Below are 17,780 nucleotides of genomic sequence, written 5' to 3'. Positions count from 1 at the left end.
TTATTCTTCCTTCTATCACTCAATGCTATCGTCTAGTGTCACTCAGGCCTCCACTCAATTACCTGTGATGTGCAACAGGCATACCAAGGAAACACACAAATTTTTCACCTAGGATAATCCAAATAAAATGGCTGCACCACGTCAGGAAACGTAATATTGTTGATTATCTGCAGTAGAGTCAGATTGTAATTTATTTCTCTCTTTCTTCATTTCAGAAGGTTCTTCTATGGTTATTTTGCCAATGTTACATTTGAATTTCAACACAAGAGAAAGGTATCATCCTGGTCCTCTACTCAAAAACGTCAAAATCGTATCAAGTTCACAAATCAGACATGTTAGGGAAATTGAAACGAGCCAATCAGCTAACAGTTCCCTTTTCAATCCTCTTCACTTCTTTGGAAGACTCTATAAAGTCTTGCCTCTCAAAATCAGCAGCAAAGCTGTAGTTTCACGTAAGTTCCATGTCATTCTACAGATGTGAGTCACTTTATAGGTTATAGGTTCTTATTCTCTCTACTATTCCTGAAATTTATACAGCTATCACCACCTACACTGGGCTACTGACTAAGGTTTACCCACCTACTTTGCTAACCAATCTTTCACTAAAAATCAAGTACTAATTAAAACATCATAGCATGACAATTAATTAAACCTGTTACTAACGACAACCAAAAACATTTTAAAATGATAAAATTTAGAGTAATATTTAAAGAAATGCAATATATCACAATCATCAACAAACTTTAAAGCATAAAATTCTAAATCTTTTTTTTTTTTTTTTGAGACAGGGTCTTGCTCTGTTACCCAGGCTGGAATGCAGAGGTGTAATCTCAGCTCACTGCAGCCTCAACTTCCCAAACTCAAACAATCCTTCCACCTCAGCCTCCCAAGTAGCTAAGAGTACAGGTGTGCACCACCACACCCAGCTACTTTTATAAAAAACTTTTTTTTGTTGAAAGTCTCACTACAGGCTGGTCTCAAACTCATGGGCTCAAGTGATCCGCATGTCTCAGCTTCCTGAAGTGTTGGGATTACAGGCATGAGCCACCACGCCTGGCCCAAACTCTAAATCTGATACTGCTTACTATGCCTCATTTTTGCAAAAGAGAACTCACACATACATACATTCTTTCATATATGCTTCAGGCACAAAAAGTCATAGCATAAATATATAACTATACACTCAGCTTAAAAGATGTCATCTGACAAACTGGACTTCAAAGCCACTTGAGCATCAGAAGTCCTTGCTTAGAATGTATTACAGAAAAAGCCTTTTTTATTCAATACTTTCACCATCTTTCTGAGTACTTTTTCTATATATAACCTAGACTTTTTTCCCCCTTAATTCAGAAAAAGCCTTCTATTTCACTGCCACCAAGTAAGAGTTAACCTAACGAAAATTCAATTTCAAATGCGCAATGCATGTGTTACAATATGCAGGTGACATTCTTCCAATCAATAGAGTTGCTTTCTTCTCCTAATTGCTTTGCTCTCCTATTTCCAGTCATTTATAAACAGAACTATTTTAAAAAGAAGTCAAACCAAAATAAAATAAAAGTAATAATTGTTTGTATCACATTCCCAATATTATCTACTAACTACCATAGTCAGTTCAGTACCCTGCCTCTTAAAGAGGTCCCCTTTTTCAATTTTTCCAAAAAAAATTTCCTCCTCTCCTCCTTCTCCTTGTCCCCCCCATGACCCTGCAGGCTAGTCTGGAACTCCTGGCCTCAGGCAATCCTCCCATCTCAGTCTTTTGAGTAGCTAGGATTACAGGTGCAAGCCACCATAATTCTTTTTCTTTTTTTTTTTTTTTTTGAGACAGAGTTTCACTCTTGTTGCCCAGGCCGGAGTGCAATGGCGTGATCTCCGCTCACTGCAACCTCTGCCTCCCAGGTTCAAGCAATTCTCCTGCCTCAGCCTCCCAAGTAGCTGGGATTACAGGCACGCACCACCACGCCCAGCTAATTTTGTATTTTTAGTAGAAACGAGATTTCTCCATGTTGGTCAGTCTGGTCTTGAACTCCCGATCTCAGGTGATCCACCCACCTTGGCCTCCCAAAGTGCTGGGATTACAGGCATGAGCCACCGTGCCCAGCCAGCATAATTCTTAATTAGAGATATGTGGTGGTTGCTCAACTGATTTAGGAACTTTTAAATACCTACAGTGATATACACTTTTCAGTGATGTCACATTCGCTAAACTAAACTAATAAAGTAGTCAAAGGTTAGGGGAAGAATCCTAAGTTATTTGTGAAGGCAGTACCCTTTCAGGGCTTCAAGTCTTGATGTTTTATTTTATCAGTGTTGCTATTCCCAGCTTAAGTTTCCTTTTATCTGCTCAGTCACTGGTTTACCAATGTTTAAACAGAAAAAAAAAAAAAAACAAAAAACTTGCCTAGTTAGGCCCAGAGCTGTGGCTCATGCCTGTAATTCCAGTACTTTGGGAGGCCAAGGCAGGCAGATCACTTGAGGTCTGGAGTTCTAGACCAGCCTGGCCAACATGACGAAACCTTGTCTCTACTAAAAATACAAAAATTAGCCAGGCATGGTGGCTCATGCCTATAATCCCAGCTACTTGGTGGGGCTGAGGCTGGAGAATCGCTTGAACCCAGGAGAGGGAGATGGCAGTGAGCCAAGATAGTGCCACTGCACTCCAGCCTGGGCAACAGAGCAAGACTCATCTCAAAAACAACAAACAAACAAACAAAAAACTTGCCTAGTTAGTATATAATACATTTCCAATAGGATTTTCCCAATCTTTCTCTGAAGACCACACCTTTAAGTAAGGATGTGGTCTTCAGAGAGAGATCGCATCTAAAAGAAAGGAATGGCTAATTCCTAACAGAACAATTCCTAACAGAAATACAAAATCACTCCTTATTAATGGCTTTGCTAAGATGAATTTTTAAAATTGCTGAAATAAGCTTCATTCAGGTGAATAATTTCTAACCTACTAAAGAGTAATCAATATCCATTGATTGATTGATTGAAATACCCTTCTTCTTCCTAACTACCATAAAGGCGCAGTTGGGATTCAATGACTATTAAATAACTCCAATAAAAACGACTTCAGCAGAGAGGGAAATGAAAAAAGATTTGTCATATTTTCCCCCTAAACATTCACTGGAAATTAGCAAAATGTAAGATTATAATTATGGCCTTAATCAAGAAGAAATCTGACTATACACCTTTTATTATTAAAGTTATAAATTTCACCTGCTGCCATTTTTAAACTAGCATGTTTAAAAACAGGCTACAATTAGAAATTAAACAGGCTACAATTAGAAATAGAATTTTTCTGTTAGTTTGTGAAATTAAACTTTCTATAAAATTTGACCATTCTATACTGTTTAATCATGTACATGCTAATAGAAGGAAAGCATTATTATTCACAGCCTTAATTTTTTTCTTTATTATGTATTTACTTCTTAAATTGACAAAAATTGTATATATTTATGTGTACAACATGATGTTTTGAAATATATGCACATTGAGGAATGGCTAAACTAAGCCTTAATTTTGACAGTTATTCACTATAAGGCTTTTTGGTGTCACTGCGATTATTTCAAATAATTATTATTTAAACAATCAGTTCAGTTTAACGTAGGAACAAGAAAAAATGTTTTACTTTTGATAATGTGTGATATACAAGAAGAAAAGTGTATGTCATTATTATTTATCCTATTAATACATTTCTATCAATGAATTATAATTTCAGTAATCCTTTGCTCACCCTGCAAGGATGAGCGTGGAGAAGAAGAGTGGAGAAGTAACCCACAATGTAACTTAATTTCCCAGCGAGAACCTGAACCCTTACTAAAGTCCCCAGTAGTAGTCAGCCAACTGCAAATTGCTGTGGGAATATTTACAGTAACAACTATTAGGAAACATGCAGTATTTTGTTTGCCACGAAGCCAACTTAATCTTCAGTGTCACAATGCAAGTTAAGATTTCCTAAATATATTTTTAAAGATTTTCTATGATTTGTTTCTCCTAAGTGAATAGTGAGCTTAAAAGACTGAAAGCGAACTTGTCCTTATTTCACTGAAGTGTGTCATCAGACTTCTGATCTCCAAGCCTGTAATTGATACGTGGCTGTTACTAGGCAAAGTCCTTGGCTTTTCAGATGAAGGTGAACTCACACGTATGAACACTTGGGAGTTTGGGGAATCCTGACAGAGATAACACACACCAACGCTCACATCCACCACCAACAACCCGTCTACCCTGACAAGACTGCTCTCCGCTTCTCGCACTGGGCTCCCAGGAGTGCTGCTTAGTTTAAAGAGGAACCGAAAAAGTTTCTCAATGTGCGAGCCCAGTGTGTGGTCAGCGAGCGCCGGGGCGTCGCGCTAGTCCTCTCGTCCCCCGCACAAACCCCCCCTTGGATCAGGAAAAGGCGCTCACCGTTGTGCTCGCGGTATCCCCAGCTGAGCCTCGACATGGTCCCTCGGGGTGGAAGGAAGAGAAAGATGTGACTGAGCAGCGAGAAAGAGGAGGGAGCGGGGAGGGGCCCGGGAAGGAGCCTGCTAGGGCGGGACCGCGGGGCGCCGGCGGCAGGAGTGCGAGACCGTGAACCCGGTCCGGGGCGCTCCCGCCTGCGTCCTCCAGACGGCAGAGGCGTGCGGGGAAGGCGCCCGCGCCGCTGGCTGACTCCTGGGGCGCGAGTCTCTCTTAGTTTGGACTCGGGAATGAGAGATTTGAGTTAGAGGGAGAGACGGAGAGAGAAAGGTTTCCGGGGGGGATCTCCTGCCTTCTGAGGAGTCGTCACTCGGGAGAGGAAAGTGTTGCCTAGAGGACTTCCAGGAAGTGAATGAGTCACCAGAGCCTGGAACTGCCAGGCTGGGAGGTGGGGATCCCGGTGGAGGCGTAAAAGAGGTCGGTGATGGTCGTGGCAGTGATGATTACAAATACAAAACAATAATGACGATGGTAATCACCACCACTGAAAAATAACTACTTATTAAGGGCTTATCGTGGGCGAGGGTCTTAGCTAAGACGTGTACCCACGTTTTCCCATTAGATCCTCTCAGCATTTCCTCGAGAAACACGTGGCTTAAGTTAGAGACACTATGTAACCTGCCCCGGGTCGCTCAGCTAAAGCGGGCGGGGTCGCTGTTAGAGAGGACCAGCTCCCGGTCCTGGGCTGGCTCCATTGCCCATTCATCCTTTCCTTACCTCTTCTCACTCTGCAGGCTTGTGGCTTGGTGAGTGAGGAAACCAAAACCAGTTGTTGAGATTTGGTCCCAAAATTCTGCTGCCCTCCTGACCCCGCAAGAAGGGTTTTCAGGACATCTGCCCTGGATTCTTGGTGGGCTTGTTACCCTAGGACTGGAGTCAGAACTAGCTGCAGAGTCTTGAATTTCTGGCCTGGAGTCGTGAATGTTCTGGGTTCAAAGTGAAAAATAAAAATTGGGTACATGAACCACTTTCTACGTCCTTGTCTCGGGTCAACTGCCTCATATTTTATAAATCCAAGCAACCTCTTTGTAAGGAACCTAGTAAACCAATTTTCAGTAACTCGGATGATTTGGTATGTCAAGATGAATAATGCTCTTAACGTTCTAAGTAAGTATCAGTTCTTGACACCCAATAATAGTGGTTACATGAATGGATGAATGACTGAATAGACCAAAATTGTTAAAGAAATTTTGGTTGGTGGGTCTCAAATACTTCCCAAATTGTTACTTTTATTGCTTGGGTACACAGTTTGTAACCACCCAATGGGTTTACCTTGCCCACTGTCAAGACACAGCTGATTTATCAAGACAGGGGAATTGCAATTCATAAAGGGAAATTCACGTAGAGCCGGCTGTGCAGAGGACTGGAGTTTTATTATTACACAAATCAGTCTCCGCAAGCATTGGGGATCAAAGTTTTTAAGGACAATTTGGTGGGTGGAGGAGAGCCAGTAAGTCGGGAGACCTGGTTGTTTGGGTCAGAGGTGAAATCATAGGGAGTCAAAGCTGTCTTGCATTAAGTCAGTTCCTGGGTGGGGGCCATGGGATCAGATGAGCCAGTTTATCGAGCTGAGTGGTGCCTGCTGATCCATCCAGTGCAGGGTCTGCAACATATCTGAAGCACTGGTCTTAGGCTTTACAATAGTGATGTTATTCCCAGGAGCAATTTGGGGAGGGTCAGAATCATACAGCCTCCAGCTGTATGACTCCTAAACCATAATTTCTAATCTTTTGGCTAATTTGTTAGTCCTGCAAAGGCGGTCCAGTCCCCAGGAAAGAAGGTTTGTTTTGGGAAAGGGCTGTTATTGTCTTTGTTCTAAACTATAAACTATGTTCCTCCTCAAAGTTAGTTCAGCCTATGCCTAAGAATGAGTAAGGACAGCTTAGAAGTTAGAAATAAGATAGAGTTGGTTAGGTCCAATCTCTTTCACTGTTTCAATTATAATTTTGCAGTAGTGGTTTCAAGTTCCTTCTTGTTTAAATTCATAGCGCAGTCTATATAATTTTCTAAAACAGCAACCTAAGTATTGGCAACAATCAAATTACCTTTCATAGGAAACTAGTTAGGTCATCTGTAGAGCATCCATCATTCAATGGACTTATATATATATATATTTTTTTCAGATGGAATTTCGCTCTTGTTGCCCACGCTGGAGTGCAATGGTGCGATCTCGGCTCACTGCAACCTCCACCTCCCAGGTTCAAGCAATTCTCCTGCCTCAGCCTCCAGAGTAGCTGGGATTACAAGCATGCATTACTAGTGGCTAATTTTTGTATTTTTAGTAGAGATGGGGTTTCACCATGTTGGCCAGGCTGGTCTCCAACTTCTGACCTCAGGTGATCCACCCGCCTCGGCCTCCCAAAGTGCTGGGATTACAGATGTGAGCCACTGCGCCCAGCTGCCATTCAATGGACTATTGTCCATTTATAAAAAGAATGAAGATCTCCATGAGCAGAGCAGATATAAAGTGAGTCCTGGGATGTATTGAGGTTGCGGGAGCGGGGGAAGCAAAGGAGCAAAAGAGTGTATATAATAGACTGCATGTTTAAGAAAAAAATAGAAATAAGAAACTGCACACATATTTTCAGATTTTTACCAAAAAAGTAGAGAAAAAGCCATAAATTAATAAAAATAGTTCCTTATAGAGGATGAGTGTGAATGGGGTGGAAGTGTCAGAGGCAATGGAACCACAGCAACTCCATTCAAATCTTATTATATGCTAATTATAATGCATTCACATGCTAAAAGACACTCCCACCAGCCCCAGGACAGTTTACAAATACCATGACAACATTTGGAAATTACCCTATATGATCTAAAAGTGGGAGGAGACCTCAGTTCTAGGAAATTCCCACCCTTTTCCCAGAAAACTCATGAATAATCCACCCCTTGTTTAGCATGTAATCAAGAAATAACCATAAAAAGTAGACAACCAGTTGCCCTTAGGGCAACTCTGTCTATGGAGTAGCCATTCTTTTGTTTCTTTTTTTTTTGAGATGGAGTCTCTCTCTGTCGCCCAGGCTGGAGAGCAGTGGCACGATCTCAGCTCACTGCAACCTCCACCTCCTAGGTTCAAGTGATTTTTCTGCCTCAGCTTCCTGAGTAGCCGGGACTATAGGCGCCCACCACCACGCCCGGCTAATTTTTGTATTTTTAGAAGAGACGGGATTTCACCATGTTGGTCAGGCTGGTCTCGAACTCCTGACCTCGTGATCTGCCCACCTCGGCCTCCCAAAATGCTGGGATTACAGGCGTGAGCCACCGCACCGGCCCCTTTTTTTCTTTACTTCTCTAATAAACCTGCCTTTACTTTACTCTGTGGACTCAACCCAAATTCTTTCTTGCATGAGATTCAAGAACCCTCTCTTGGGGTCTGGACTGGGACCTCTTTCCAATAACAGAGGGAGAGGGATAAGTGAAACTTCTCAGTGTATCTTTTTGACTTTTAATCATAAATGTCGTAAATTAACTTTAGCCTAAAGCTGCCTCCTTACATATTTTAGTCCAGCTTAAAGTTTTCTGTGTATATAGTGAACTCTAACCTAACTAGATGTGTAAATAGACTGTAGCCCACTCTTGTGCCAATCACTGAATGTTGGCCAATCAAAGGCAGCCAACTGTTCAAACCCTGTTCAACTGAGGTAAACTTTGAGCTGTAACCAAACCAGCTGTTTCTGTACCTGACTTCCATTTTCTGTCCATCACTTTCCTTTCTCTGTCCATCAATCTAACCACACAGAAGGGCCAGAGTCTCTCTGAACCTATTCTGATTGGAGACATTGCCCAATTTGCAAATTGTTCTTTGCACAATTAAACTCTGTTCAATTTAATTTGTCTAAGATTTTTCTTTTAACATTGTTCTGCATTTTTAAAAAATAAATTTAAATTAAAGAGAATAAAAAAGCAAACCCTGAAATTGAATTCAAACAGAAACAATTAAAATTAATTGTATATTGAATTGATAATGTAACCATAAAGAAAAAGTTAAATAGCGTTCGACTATAGTACTTTGGCTATATATCCTTAGTAGGACATATAACATATTAAGAAGAAATGAAAGAAAATCTTGAACATTACTAGTAGGTTTGTTTTTGGTAGGATATTGGTGTTATGCTTCTGAAACCATTTTTTATTGGTTTGTTTGTTTGTTTTGAGATGTTGTTTTGCTCTGCCACCCAGGCTGGAGTGCAGTGGTGCAATCTCGGCTCACTGCAACCTCCACCTCCCGGATTCAAGCGATTCTCCTGCCTCAGCCTCCCAAGTAGCTGGGATTATAGGTGCCCACCCCCATGCCCTGGCAATTTTGTGCTTTTAGTGGAGACGGGGTTTAACCATGTTGGCCTGGCTGGTCTGGAACTCCTGACAAGTGATCCACCAACTTCGGTCTCCCAAAGTGCTGGGATTTACAGGCATGAGCCATTGTGCCTGGCTGGAAACCACTTGTGTGAAAATAGTAAGATAGAGCAAATGAACAAATATATTGATAATCTCTGGAAGCATGATTTTCATTCTGGTTTATACAAAATAGGAAATGACAGAAGCTAAGAAATAAACCCGTGGTGTTGCATTTGAACATTCTCTTCACTGAAAGATCCCAAGAACAATAATATCCCAATAATAATGAAGCTAATAAACCTTAAAATATATAGCCCTTCACTGAGGGACCACTTCTAAAGCCATATACTAATTTTATATTTGTAACTTTACATTCCTTTTCTTTAAAAAAAAAAAGTCCCAAAATTGTAGTAGCTTCAGGCTCTACAAATCTGAATCTACCCCTTGCTATGAGACACTGAAACTGCCCAATGGGTTCATCTTGCCCATTTCCTAGGCAGAACTAATTATTGATGAAGACAGGGGAATTGAAATAGAGCCAGCTAAATGAGTGACTGGAGCTTTTTTGTTTGGTTGGTTTTTTGAGACAAGGTCTCATTCTGTCACCTAGGCTGGAGTGGAGTGGTGCAATCACAGCTCACTGCAGCCTCCACCTCTCAGGCTCAAGCATCCTCCTGCCGCAGCCTCCCACGTAGCTGGGATTGCAGGCATGTGCCACCATGCCTGGCTAACTTTTTTTTTTGTAGTGGGGAGAGACAGGGTCTCACTGTGTTGCCCAGGCAAACTATGAGCCCAGTCAAACTCCTGGGCTCAAACAATCCTCTTGCCTTAGCCTCCTCCCAAAGTGCTGAAATTACAGGTGTCAGCCACCATGCCCTACTCAAAGTTTTATTATTACACAAATCAGCCTCCCACCACATTCCAAGGTTAGGGTTTTTCAAGAATAGTTTGGCAGGCAGGGGGCTAGGGAATGGGTGATGCTGAGTGGTTGGAAATGCAATTACGGTGGTGTAGAAAATGGTCCTCATGAGCTGAGTCCACTTTTGGGTGGGGGCCACAGAGGAGTTGCTGGTCTGGGTGGGGCCATCTGGTCATCATACATGCAAAAGCCTGAAAAAACATCTCAAAAGGTCAATCTCAGGTTCTACAATAGTGATGTTATTTATGAGAGTAATTGGGGAAGTTGAAAATGTCGTGAGCTACAGAACAAATAAATGGCTTTGGGAAGGGTTATTACCATTGAAATTATAAACTAAATTTCTCCCAAAGTTAGCTTGGTTCACACCCAGAAATGATCAAGGGCAGTTTGGAGGTGAAAGGCAAGATGAAGTTGGTTAGGTAAGACCTCTTTCACTGTTACAATTTTCTCACTATTATGATTTTTGCAAAGGTGATTTAAACACTAGCACCCAGATCTTGTTTCCTAAACACCATTCCCCCTTCGAAGGAACCAGAGCTATTTGGAGAAGTGACTAGTTTTGTTAGCAGCTGCGAACCTGTACAGGTCTACAACAACCTCAATTCTTGCCTCCTCAGAAGAAAGAATTTGACCAAGGGGCATAGGGCAGAGTGAAAGACCTAGGCAAGTTTTAGAGCAGGAATGAAAGTTCACTAACAAGTTTAGAGGGAACAAAAGGAAGTAAAGTACACCTGGAAGAGGGCCAAGCCAGCAACTTGAGAGATTGAAGTGCACTGTTTGACCTTTGACTTGGGGTCTTATACATTGGCATGCTTCTGGGGTCTTGCAATCCTTCTTCCCTGATTCTTCTTTGGGGTGGGCTGTCCGCAGGCATAGTGGACTGCCAACACTTGAAAGGGGCTGTATGCACAGTGTGTTTACCAAAATTGTGCACATGCTCACTTGAGGGGTTTTTTCCTTACCAGTTGAGTGTTCCTAAAGGAAGGTCATATACCAGTTAAACTCTGCCATTTGCCTCTTAGTGTGCATGCTTGAGACCACTCAACCAACTCCTGAGATCCTACTGGGAAGCTGCTGATCACCAACTTTAAGTGTTTCTATCTCTTGGGAGACTGCCTTTTCCTGATGCCAGCTGCAACCAATTATTATTTTAGAGAAGCAGTTTGATAACCGCCTGACCATCACCTGATGGTTGTCTGACATTCTTGGTTGGGGGGCAGTAGGGGCTCTCCTGCCCTGCTTAGGTCTGCTTGACTACCTACATAACAGTTTCAGGTCTAGAGCAGAGAAAGACTAAGATGAGCCTAGAACATATTTCTTATGCCAGAAAGCTAGAAAGCATTCAAACACACACACACACACAGACACATTCACACACACAGACACATTCACACACACACACATACACAGATACGCACAAATAAGGTAGCTTGAAGGAGGAACTGCTGACAAATTTGGGATAATTTGACCATCAAAAGAAATAATGATAGTAATAGATTATAACTCCCCACCCACCAAATATCCATCAGTGCATAGTGATGCTGAGAGAGAATGAGAGATCTTCTTTATGTCCACTAGCAAATACAGATGAAATGATAAAATTTTAAAACCACCATTTTTGCAAGGCCTATATAATCTCTGTATAATCTCTGATTCAGGCAAGGATCAGTAATGGGTACTAAAACTTCTGGATGAAAGGATATTGGGGAATAGGATATTCACACAGTCTAGGATTAAAAGAGACAAAAGATATGTAACAGCTAAATGCAATGTATGATACTTAATTAGATTCTAGGTTACATAAAAGCTGTAATAAATATTTGGGAGACATTTGGAGAAATTTAAATATGGACAGCATCTATGTGATATTATTAATTGATACTAATTCTCTCAGGAGTGATAATGGTACTGAGAATGATTTAAGAGTTCAACACTAAAGCTACAGGGCTGAAGTACTTTTTTTTTTTTTTTTTTTTTTTTTGAGACTGAGTCTTGCTCTGTTGCCCAGGCTGGAATGCAGTGGCGCAATCTCGGCTCACTGCAACCTCCTCCTCCCTGGTTCAAGCAATTCTCCTGTCTCAGCCTCCTGAGTAGCTGGACTACAGGCACACACCACCACGCCCCGCTAATTTTTCTATTTTTAGTAGAGACAGGTTTCACCATATTGGTCAGGATGGTCTTGAACACCTGACCTTAGGTGATCCACCTGCTTCGGCCTCCTAAAGTGCTAGGGCTGAATATCTTGATGTCTGAAACTGACTTCCAAATGTCTCAGTAAATAATTGATTAATCTAGCTGGAGGATATTTGGGAGCTCATGATAATATTCTTACTTTTTTTCCGTAGGTTTGAAATTTTTTCAAAAAAAAAAAAACAACTGAGGAAACAAACATCTTTTTACTTCTTCAAATCAATGAATCCATTAACTTACTAAATAACTTTCATAACTATTTGTGTGGTTTCTCTTTAACAAGGAGCCTCTGTCTCCAGGCTTACAACCATTAAGTGTAATCAAGTAAAAGAAGACTAACACTGGTTGGGCACAACCTGTAATCCCAGCACTTTGAGAGGCTAAGGCAGGAGGATTGCTTGAACCCAAGAGTCCAAGACCAGCCTGGGCAACACAGTGAGACCCTGTCTCTGCCAAAAAAATATATATATATATTAGCCAAGTATGGTGGCACCCACCTGTGGTCCCAGCTACTTGGGAGGCTGAGGTAGAAGAATCACTTGAGTCTGGGAGGTGGAGGTTGCAGTGAATTGCTTGAGCCCAGGAGACGGAGGTTGCAGTGAGCTGTGATCATGCCACTGCACTTCAGCCCGGGTGACAGAGTGAGACCCTGTCTCAAACAAAAAACAAAAACAAAAAGACTAACACTAACCAAATAACCCAGAAATGCTGACCCACGATATGGTCATCATCTCCACCTCACTCTTTTTTTGGTCAGTGGAGATGTGTGTTTTTTTTTCACTTCACTTTTGAACTGGTTAGATCCAATTTAAGCTCCCTTAAGGAACAAAATGTGCTGAAGTCCGCTCTCCTCTTCAATGACACTGTGTGTCATAATAAAGCAGCACTTGTAAATTACAAATCTAGCCATAAAAATATTTAATTAACACAGTAACATATTAAGGAAATATCAGAGTATAAGTTCATGTTGTTTTATTAGGGCATGTATACAGACTCTCCCTGAGATGCACATTTTTCCAGGTATTCTTTTTATTTATTTATTTATTTATTTATTGAGACAGAGTCTTGCTCTGTTGGCCAGGCTGGAGTGCTGGAGTGTACCCTCTTGGCTCACTGCAACCTCCGTCTCCTGGGCTCAAGCAATTCTCCTGCCTCAGCCTCCCGAATAGCTGGAATTACAGGCATGTGCCACCATGCCCGGCTAATTTTTGTATTTTTAGCAGAGATGGGGTTTCACCATGTTGGCCAGGCTGGTCTCAAACTCCTGACCTCAGGCAATCTGCCTGCGTCTGCCTCCCAAAGTGCTGGGATTACAGGCATGAGCCACCGCACCCAGCCCCCAGGTATTATTTTTAAAAACTCTAAATGTGAACCAAAGTAGCTATTATCATCTGATTTTTACCAAGCACGAAACTTAGATGAGCAAGGTTCCCCAGTCCCCTAGAGAGGCAAGCCACACAGTCAGGGACATAGCACCAGTCTGCAGAGTCCCAAGTCCAAGATGCTCTCCAATTTGTGCCCAGCTTCCTTTATTCATTGAGTCCTGTGATTTGTACAACCAGGATGTACTACCCACAAGAATGTCTTATCACTTGATAGCTTGTGGAGATTGTTGACTTTATGGAGCTGATACTATATGGGGTTTCGATTTCTTTATTTTCTTATTCCTAAGGTTATCCTAAGGTTAGTCTTACATAATGCAATCTCCCAAAGAGGAATTTGAGACTCAAAAGGGTTAAAGGACTTTCTCAGGTGACCAAGGTTTCACACCAAGATGAGGACTCTCAGACCAAAATTGAAAGGATAACTTCAATAAATCTCTTCCCCAGTCACCTCTCCAATGATAGCTTTCGGAAACTAGAGCCAAACATTTCTTTGTCCTATATTGTCAGATAAGAACACATTGCTAAAACCCAATTTCTACATTTTTGTTCTTTTGTTTAATTTTATACAGTTTTCTAATCGAAATTTATCTACACCCTATTTTGTAGTGTTTCATATCTTATTTGTGCATATTACAAAAGTAGGTAAAGTGTGAAAGAGAAAAAGGAAGCATCAAGACTATTTGAAAGGAAATACACTTGTATAAACATCAGATCAGTGTTGAAAAGTCCAGATAATTCATGCCAAAGTAATTCGGCTGTTAAAGAATTTAGTAGTTCCTTGGCCTAGAATGAATAAGTCAATGTCATTCTATTGCTGTCAACTCTTTGAAATATAACCACAGAGCGATATTAGGGGCATGACGGCATTCTGTCATCAGCTCTTGTAAGGTTTATCTATTCCTTTCTGTCCTCTAGAAAAGGAAGATTTGTTCCTTTTTTTTTTTTTTTTTTTTTTGAGACAGAGTCTCACTCTGTTGCCCAATCTGGAGTATAGTGGCACAATCTCAGCTCACCACAACCCCCGCCTCCCGGGTTCAAGTGATTCTCCTGCTTCAGCCTCCTGAGTAGCTGGGACTACAGGCATGGACCACCACACCTGGCTAATTTTTGTATTTTTAGTAGAGACGGAGTTTCACCACGTTGGCTTTGAACTCCTGACCTCAGGTGATCCACCTGCCTTGGCCTCTAAACGTGCTGTGGTTACAGGTGTGAGCCACCATCCCCCTGGCCGGACAGTTTGTTCTATGAAAAGCAGTACCCATATCCCCATCTCACCACCGAGGAAGGTGTGATTTACCCTCATTCCAAGAAATTCTGACCTGGTTGCCACCATTTCACTACTGAAAGCTTGCTGCACTAGCCCTATGTGCCTAGCAAAACCTTGCACTCTTGCCAAACATATAATATTTTATCCCTTACAGCCTCCATTGCCAACTCCATTCACTCTTCTTTATTATTGCCATCAGCATACTAACATGTTCTGGAATTTCTTCTCATTAGCAGGAAACTTTCTTCCTGAATTTACATTTTCCATTTGCTACCCACCCATGCTCTCTGGAATTCCTTGGGTTCTTCTTTCTATACTCAACTGTATTATGTATTAGTTAGGGTTCTCCAAAACCATGTATACGTATTGAGGGAGAAAATGAGATTTATTATTAAAAATGGCTCACTTCATTATGAAGCCTGACAAGTCCCAAGATATTCAGAGTGAGTAGGCAAGCTGGAGGCTGGAGACCCAGGAGAGCTGATGGTGTAGTTTCAGTCCAGAGCCCAGCAGGCTCAAGACCCCAGGTAAAGCCATTGTTTCAGTTTGAATCCTAGAGTAGGAAAAAGCCGATGCCCTATCCCAAAGACAATCAGGCAGAAGGAAGTTTCCCTTACTTGGAAGAGGGTCAGCTTTTTTTTTTTTTCTATTCAGGCTTTCACTGATTAGATAAGGCCCAGCTCCTTAGGGAGGCAGTCCGCCTTAGTCCATCTACTGGTTGAAATGTTAATGTCCTCCAAAAACACCCTCATGTAAACATCCAGAATACTGTTCTACCAAATATCCGAGCACCTCATGGCCCAAATTGACACATACAATTAATCATCACACCAACCTTTAAATTTGGGGGTTTGGGGCCTATAATCTCTCCTCTCTCTACACTCTCCTCCTAGGCCCTTCCATCAGTTCTTATGGAAGTAATCTACCTAGCTTAGACATCCATTCCAGAACTGTCCAAGTGCTAAGCATATATGTTACTTAAATTTTTGACTAGGTACACTTTAAAAACTAAAAAGGAAAGTGAAATTATTCTTAATGATATATATTATTTAACCTAATACATCAAAAATATCATTTCAACATTAGTCAATAAAAAAAAAAAAATTAATGCACTCATGCTTGAAATCCCAGCACTTTGGGAGGCCGAGGCAGGCGGATTGCCTGAGCTCAGGAGTTCGAAACCAGCCTGGGCAACATGGCGAAACCCCGTCTCTATTAAAAATACAAAAAGTTAGCTGGGCATGGTGGTGGGTGCCTGTAATCCCAGCTACGCGGGAGGCTGAGGCAGGAGAATCGCTTGAACCCGGGAGATGAAGGTTGCAGTGAGCTGAGATCATGCCACTGCACTCCAGCCTGGGTGACAGAGTGAGACTCTGTCTCAAAAAAAATAAAATAAATAAAAATTAATGAGTGTTTCAGTTATCAATTTATTGTCTTTCACGTCTAATTTTACCCTGCATTACCAGCTCTGTGATAATGAAGCTTTAAGCATTTCTTTTTTGCAGCAAGCATAATGTTAAGCTTTCTTCAGTAGAAGGTCATTGCTGGAGAAAGGAACTTCTCTTCCTGGTTCCTGAATGCTGTGTTTTTTGTTTTATTCTTGTTCCTGCTGGGCTGCTTTCAGCAGCCACATGTGGCCGTGTATAGAGACATCCAGGCACTCCGGCCCAGCAGCACACTCAAGAGTATGCAGTCTCTCAGTAAGCTGACAACCCTAGCCCTAACCCAGTGACCACCTCACTGCCCCTCCCAAAACAAACCCCACATACTCCAGGCCTCATGCCACCCTATTGGCAAGCAGATGCCCCAACTCCCTCTGCATACCTGCCCACCAGCCCTAGTCTGCCTGCACCCCAAAGAGTGTTTCCCATGGCCTCCTGACATGGACACTGTCCACTCTAGGCTATGCATCTGTCAGCCAGAGTTGTTCCCAATGCTTTGAGTCCCTCTGCATACCTGTAGTCTTGCACACCAGTCTTAGCCCACCTGTACCCTGTTTCTCGCTTGTCTAGTAACTGTGGACCAGCTCAGACCTGGACAACCCAGCAAACTTCTCTGTCATCCACTGGGTTGCAACCGTATCTTCTCCAGTGATCTGAATCCCTTTGGAACGGAGGCTGGCATCCAAGTTTGTCCCTCATTAGAAACTTCCTTAGCCTCGGGATATTGTTTAGAGTTATCTTTTACATCTTTATAGTTGCCCCATTATACTTAATAATTCTTTACAGTAAACTTTCCCTGTTCAAATTACTGTGTGATTTGTCTCCTGATTGGATCTTAACTGATACTATCATTTATCTTTTACCTTCTTTGTTCTTACAAAGAGTTCCAAATCTGGTGTACATTTTATTCTGACAGCACATCTCAATTCAGGGTAGCCACATTACAAGAGCTCAATAGCCATATGAGGCTAGTGGCTATTATGCTGGCGGCACAGCTCTAGATCTACTGAATTAGATCCAATGACTTCAACTTAAATTGTTCACATGGAATTATACAGTTTTTCCCTGTCCCAACTTCCCTGTCACATTTCTATCTCATCCAATGGTACCACCATCCACCAGATGCACAAACCAGAAACTTCATAGTCACATTAATTTCTGATTTTCTCTTTTTCTCTTCACCTCTAAGTTTTGTCAGTTTTAACTCCTAAGCAATCAGTTAATTTCACAGACACAAAAAAATACTCCACTATACTATAAGCCTAAAACAAAATTCAAAAGATGTATAATTTTAAAACAATCTGTATGCCCTTTCTTCCTAATCAAATTTTTTCTGCTTCTAAAAACGTATCAGGCTGGGCACGGTGGCTCATGCCTGTAATCCCAGCACTTTGGGAGGCTGAGGTGGGTGAATCACTTGAGCCTGGGCATTTGAGAACAGCCTAGGCAACATGGTGAAACCCTGTCTCCAAAAAAAAAAAAAAAATACAAAAATTAGTTGGGTGTGATGGCACAATCCTGTGGCCCCAGCTACTCAATGAGGTGCAAGGATCGCTTGAGCCCAGGAGATGGAGGCTTCAGTAAGCAGTGATCTCACCAGTGCACTCCAGCCTGGGCAACAAAGCGAGCAAGATCCTGTCTCAAAAAAAAAAAAGAGTGGCCAGGCGTGGTGGCTCACATCTGTAATCTCAGCACTTTGGGATGCCCAGGCAAGTGGATTACCCAAGGTCAGGCATTCGAGACCAGCCTGGCCAACAAGGTGAAACCCCATCTCTACT

At 41.9% G+C, this 17,780-nt stretch overlaps 1 protein-coding gene and 2 long non-coding RNA genes across 4 annotated transcripts in view, besides 2 other annotated features; 1 reads left to right on the top strand and 2 right to left on the bottom strand.

Annotated features, from left to right (window-relative positions):
- The window catches only part of CA13 (carbonic anhydrase 13), a 38,616-nt gene extending 33,798 nt beyond the window's left edge, over positions 1 to 4,818 (bottom strand). The window contains exon 1 of the mRNA NM_198584.3: positions 4,411 to 4,818. Within this exon, the coding sequence (NP_940986.1) occupies positions 4,411 to 4,447 (37 nt within the window). The 5' untranslated portion in view covers positions 4,448 to 4,818. The remainder of the gene's footprint in view (positions 1 to 4,410) is intronic.
- Positions 4,014 to 4,123: an enhancer, noted in NCBI's record as "active region_27594". NCBI's record gives its function as "activates an Ori minimal core promoter by ATAC-STARR-seq in GM12878 lymphoblastoid cells {active_cell/tissue: GM12878}" and the evidence as "EXISTENCE:reporter gene assay evidence [ECO:0000049][PMID:35858748]".
- Positions 4,484 to 4,563: a silencer, noted in NCBI's record as "silent region_19336". NCBI's record gives its function as "represses an Ori minimal core promoter by ATAC-STARR-seq in GM12878 lymphoblastoid cells {active_cell/tissue: GM12878}" and the evidence as "EXISTENCE:reporter gene assay evidence [ECO:0000049][PMID:35858748]".
- A 1,972-nt stretch (positions 4,819 to 6,790) lies between the features above and the next one.
- LOC105375936 (uncharacterized) overlaps positions 6,791 to 17,780 on the top strand; it is a 21,059-nt gene continuing 10,069 nt past the window's right edge. For both annotated transcript variants that reach the window (XR_929126.3, XR_929125.3), the window contains exon 1: positions 6,791 to 6,931. This is a non-coding gene — a long non-coding RNA (uncharacterized LOC105375936). The remainder of the gene's footprint in view (positions 6,932 to 17,780) is intronic.
- Positions 12,406 to 17,780, bottom strand: part of LOC124901969 (uncharacterized) — a 17,324-nt gene continuing 11,949 nt past the window's right edge. Inside the window, exon 4 of the long non-coding RNA XR_007060985.1 lies at positions 12,406 to 12,557. This is a non-coding gene — a long non-coding RNA (uncharacterized LOC124901969). The remainder of the gene's footprint in view (positions 12,558 to 17,780) is intronic.

Source organism: Homo sapiens, chromosome 8 (genome assembly GCF_000001405.40).
Source record: "Homo sapiens chromosome 8, GRCh38.p14 Primary Assembly".
Lineage (NCBI taxonomy): Eukaryota > Metazoa > Chordata > Mammalia > Primates > Hominidae > Homo > Homo sapiens.
The sequence above is the reverse complement of the archived record's forward strand: the minus strand, read 5'-3'. Positions and strand labels throughout refer to the sequence as shown.